The following is a 4,853-nucleotide window of genomic DNA, read 5'->3' on the forward strand; positions in this document are numbered from 1 at the left end:
CGTGGGGAAGTCCAAGCTACGTCTGTAGTAGAGTGCCAGGGGAGAACAAGAACCCCTTCTTTAAGGCCCTTCCTGGTCACAGAGGCTGCCTGCCTATTGAGGTAGAGGTGCAGACTTTCCCTTCTGCACCCAGCACTGTACTTGTGACTCTGCTGTGAGAAACTTCTCACCAGCAGAAAGATCTGGAACTCAAGGCCTGCTTTTCAGATTCTTTTGTCTTATGGGGTGATTCTTTGATAGGGTGCTCTCCTCCTTCTCCTAGGAATGGGGTTTCCTGAGAGCTGGACTGCAGTGATCGTTATTACTCTTCTAGGTCTAGCCATCCAGTGGGGCTATCAGGCTCTGGACTAGTGCTAGGGAATGTCTGCAAAGAGTCCAAAGATGTGGCTAGTCTTCAGGTCTCCCAGCTGTGGATACCAGCACCTGCTCTGATGGAGGTGGCAGCGTAGTGATGTAGGCTGTGAGATTCCTTGGTTGTAGATAGGCTTAGTTTGCTGGCTTTCTCAAATGTTGGCTGTGTTAGCTGTGGAGTTGCCATGTGGACAGACTCAGGACATCTGGCTAGCCAGGCTGTTGCAGGCAGTGATGTTAGCTGTTGTTTTCTTCTTCCTGGGAGCAGTGTTATTCTGCCAAGAGTTGCTATAATGGCCTGAATTAGTTGGCCTCCAGCCGGGAGGTAGCACTTGCAAGAGAGCACCAGCTGCAGTAGTAGTATTGGGATTTGAGCTTGCCCTACATTGGCCAGGGGAAGTATTCTGGTTTCTCAGGTGATGGGTGAGGCCATGACGCTCCCAAGAGTTTATGTGTTTTGTGCCCACCAGACTGGGTAGAGAAATACCATCAGGTTGGGGCATGGTTAAGTGGGTCTGAGCTCAGACTCTCCTTGGGTGGGGCTTGTCACAGCCCTGTAGGGGATGGGAAGGTGGTTCTCAGATCAGTGGGGTTATGTTCCAGAAGGGAGTATGGCTGCCTCTGCTGTGCAGAAGAACTCACCAGGGGAGTGGGGATTAGCTGGTAGTGAAAGGCCTCACCCAACTCCCATGCAGTTGGCAAGGCCAGTCTCACTCCTGCAGTGCCCTGCTAACAGCCCCAAGTTAGATCCAGGCAGCCTGTGCACAGAATTCAGACCTGCCCCAGGTCATAATCTTCCCTGCTGGGAAAGCAAGCATGGTTTTTGAGCCCTGCCGCTCCCCGTCTACTGGTAATGCTGGGCACCCCACACTCACGTTCACATTTGCTGCAGTTTCCCTTCCCTCCCGGATTCCATTCAAGGGGTTTGTGCCCACTCAAAATTATTACAAAATTCAGTTGGGAGTTTCTTTCACCCTGCGACCTCTCCCTAATTCTGCTGCCTGCCTTCCCTACAGGTCCCTGTGAGGTATAGTCAGGCATGGCTTCCTTGTTCTCGAGCTGAAGACTGGGAGTGCCCACAAGGCTCTTCCTGCTGCTGCTTCTATTTTTATTTTTGTGCCACTCCCTAAATCCATTCCAGCTCTAGGTAAGGTTAAACCATTCTCCTGTGATCTGGATTTTCAGATTCCCCAGTGGGGATGTATGTTCAGAGGTAGGTTCTCTCTCTCTCTCTCTCTCTTTTTTTTCTTTTTAGACAGAATCTCACTCTGTCACACAGGCTGGAGTGCTGTCGCCCAGGCTGCTGGAGTGCAGTGGCGTGATCTTGGCTCACTGCAACCTCTGCCTCCTGGGTTCAAGCGATTCTCCTATTTCAACCTCCCAAGTAGCTAGGATTACAGCGTCTGCCACCGCGACCAGCTAATTTTTATATTTTTAGTAGAGATGGGGTTTCACCATGTTGGCCAGGCTGGTCTTGAACTCCTGACCTCAGGTGATCTTGCCTCAGCTTCCCAAAGTGCTGGGATTACAGGTGTGAGCCACCATGCCCAGCCAGTTCTCCCTCTCTCACACGTTGGGAACTCAGTTTTTCACATATTTCATGGAGTTTGCAGTGGTGTGCCACTTCTTTAAAAGGATCTGTGAATTCTTTCAGTTTTCCTGATACATTCCTGCATTGGTTCTAGGAACAAAAGTTCACAATCTGAATCTTCACGCACTATTCTGTCTGTCCAAATGGGAGAGGCATGCTAGTCCTGCCTCCTATCCACTATCTTGGACTAAAGAAAGCCTTAATAAATTTAAAAGGATTTAAATCATAAAAAGCATATCCTTTAGCCACTTTGGGATGCAATTAGAAATCAGTAAGGAAATTTAGAAAATTTACAGTTTTCATATGAAAATTAAACTACATACTCCTAAATAATCAAAAGTCATAGATAGAAATAAGGCAAATTATAAAATAGTTTGTGATGAATGAAAACAAAAACATATCAAAACTTATGCAGCCACAGCAGTGCATACAGAGAAAGCCTATGTTAAAAAGTAAGATCTCAATCAGTACCTAACCTTTCACCTCAAGAGACTAGAAAAATATGAAAAGATGGCCGAATAGGAACAGCTCCAGTCTGCAGCTCCCAGCGTGATCGACGTGGAAGACAGGTGATTTCTGCATTTCCAACTGAGGTACCTGGTTCATCTCACTGGGACCAGTTGGACAGTGGGTGCAGCCCACAAGGGCAAGTTGAAGCATGGCGAGATGTTGCCTCATCTGGGAAGCGCAAGGGGTTGGGGGATTTCCCTTTCCTAGCCAAGGGAAACCGTGACAGACTACCTGGAAAAATGGGTCACTCCTGCCTAAATATTGCACTTTTCCCAAAGTCTTAGAAACCAGCAGACAAGGTGATTCTCTCCCATGCCTGGCTCGGCAGGTCCCACGCCCATGGAGCCTTGCTCACTGCTAGTGCAGCAGTCTAGAGATGGATCTGCGAGGCAGCAGCCTGGCTGGGGGAAGGGCCTCTGCTATTGCCGAGGCTTGAGTAGGTAAACAGAGTGGCTGGGAAGCTCGAACTGGGCGGAGCCAACCCCAGCTCAACAAGTCCTGCTGCCTCTAGACTCCACCTCAGTGGGCAGGGGATAGCTGAACAAAAGGCAACAGACAACTTCTGCAGACTTAAACGTTCCTGTCTGACAGCTCTGAAGAGAGCAGTGGTTCTCCCAGCATGGCATTTGAGCTCTGAGAACGGACAGACTGCCTCCTCAAGTGGGTCCCTGACCCCCTGTAGCCTAACTGGGAGACACCTCCCAGTAGGGGCCGACAGACACCTCATATGGGCAGCTGCTCCTCTGGGACGAAGCTTCCAGAGGAAGGATCAGGCAGCAGTATTTGCTGTTCTGCAATATTTGCTGTTCTGCAGCCTCTTCTGGTGATATTCAGGCAAACAGTCTGGAGTGGACCTCCAGCAAACTCCAACAGACCTACAGCTGAGGATCCTGACTGTGAGAAGGAAAACTAACAAGCAAGAATAGCATCAACATCAACAAAAAGGTCATCTACACCAAAACCCCATCTGTGGGCCACCAACATCAAAGACCAAAGGTAGATGAAACCGCAAAGATGGGGAGAAACCAGAGCAGAAAAGCTGAAAATTCTAAAAACCAGAGTGCCTCTTCTCCTGCAAAGGATTGCAGCTCCTCACCAGCAATGGAACAAAGCTGGATGGAGAATGACTTTGACGAGTTGACAGATGTAGGCTTCAGAAGATCGGTAATAACAAGTTTCTTCAAGCTAAAGAAGGATGTTCAAACCCATCGCAAGGAAGCTAAAAACCTTGAAAAAAGATTATACAAATGGCTAACTAGAATAAACAGTGTAGAGAAGACATTAAATGACCTGATGGAGCTGAAAACCATGGCACGAAAACTTCATGACACATGCACAAGCTTCAATAGCTGATTCGATCAAGTGGAAGAAAGGGTATCAGTGATTGAAGATCAAATTAATGAAATGAAGCAAGAAAACAAGGTTAGAGAAAAAAGAGTAAAAAGAAATGAACAAAGCCTCCAAGAAATATGGGACTATGTGAAAAGACCAAATCTACATTTGATTGGTATACCTGAAAGTGATGGGGAGAATGGAACCAAGTTGGCAAACACTCTTCAGCATATTATCCAGGAGAAATTCCCCAACCTAGCAAAGCAGGCCAACATTCAAATTCAGGAAATACAGAGAATGCCACAAACATACTCCTTGAGAAGAGCAACTCCAAGACACATAATTGTCAGATTCACCAAGGTTGAAATGAAAGAACAAGTGTTAAGGGCAGCCAGAGAGAAAGGTCGAGTTGCCCACAAAGGGAAGCCCATCAGACTAACAGCAGATCTCTCGTCAGAAACCCTAGACCTACAAGCCAGAAAAGAGAGGGGGCCAATACTCAACATTCTTAAAGAAAAGAATTTTTAACCCAGAATTTCATATCCAGCCAAACTAACCTTCATAAGTGAAGGAGAAATAAAATCCTTTACAGACAAGCAAATGCCGAGAGATTTTGTCACCACCAGGCCTGCCTTACAAGAGCTCCTGAAGGAAGCACTAAACATGGAAAGAAACAACTGGTACCAGCCACTGCAAAAACATGCCAAATTGTAAAGACCATCGATGCTATGAAGAAACTGCATCAATTAATGGGCAAAATAACCAGCAAACATCATAATGACAGGATCAAATTCACACATAACACTATTAACCTTAAATGTAAATGGACTAAATGCCCCAATTAAAAGACACAGACTGGAAAATTGGATAAAGAGTCAAGACCCATCAGTGTGCTGTACTCAGGAGACCCATCTCACGTGCAGAAACGCACATAGGCTCAAAATAAAGGGATGGAGGAAGATCTACCAAGCAAATGGAAAACAGACAAACAAAAAAAAGCAAGGGTTGCAATCCTAGTCTGATAAAACAGACTTTAAACCAGCAAAGACCTTAAGAGACAAAGCCATTA

At 46.6% G+C, this 4,853-nt stretch overlaps 2 annotated features.

The window, feature by feature from the left end:
- Positions 2,358 to 2,858: an enhancer, noted in NCBI's record as "H3K4me1 hESC enhancer chr7:23884086-23884586 (GRCh37/hg19 assembly coordinates)". NCBI's record gives its function as "activates a minimal SCP1, AML or CMV promoter by ChIP-STARR-seq in naive and primed H9 embryonic stem cells {active_cell/tissue: H9 hESC(naive and primed)}" and the evidence as "EXISTENCE:reporter gene assay evidence [ECO:0000049][PMID:30033119]".
- Positions 2,859 to 3,359: an enhancer, noted in NCBI's record as "H3K4me1 hESC enhancer chr7:23884587-23885087 (GRCh37/hg19 assembly coordinates)". NCBI's record gives its function as "activates a minimal SCP1, AML or CMV promoter by ChIP-STARR-seq in naive and primed H9 embryonic stem cells {active_cell/tissue: H9 hESC(naive and primed)}" and the evidence as "EXISTENCE:reporter gene assay evidence [ECO:0000049][PMID:30033119]".

The sequence above is a fragment of the Homo sapiens genome, chromosome 7 (genome assembly GCF_000001405.40).
Source record: "Homo sapiens chromosome 7, GRCh38.p14 Primary Assembly".
Lineage (NCBI taxonomy): Eukaryota > Metazoa > Chordata > Mammalia > Primates > Hominidae > Homo > Homo sapiens.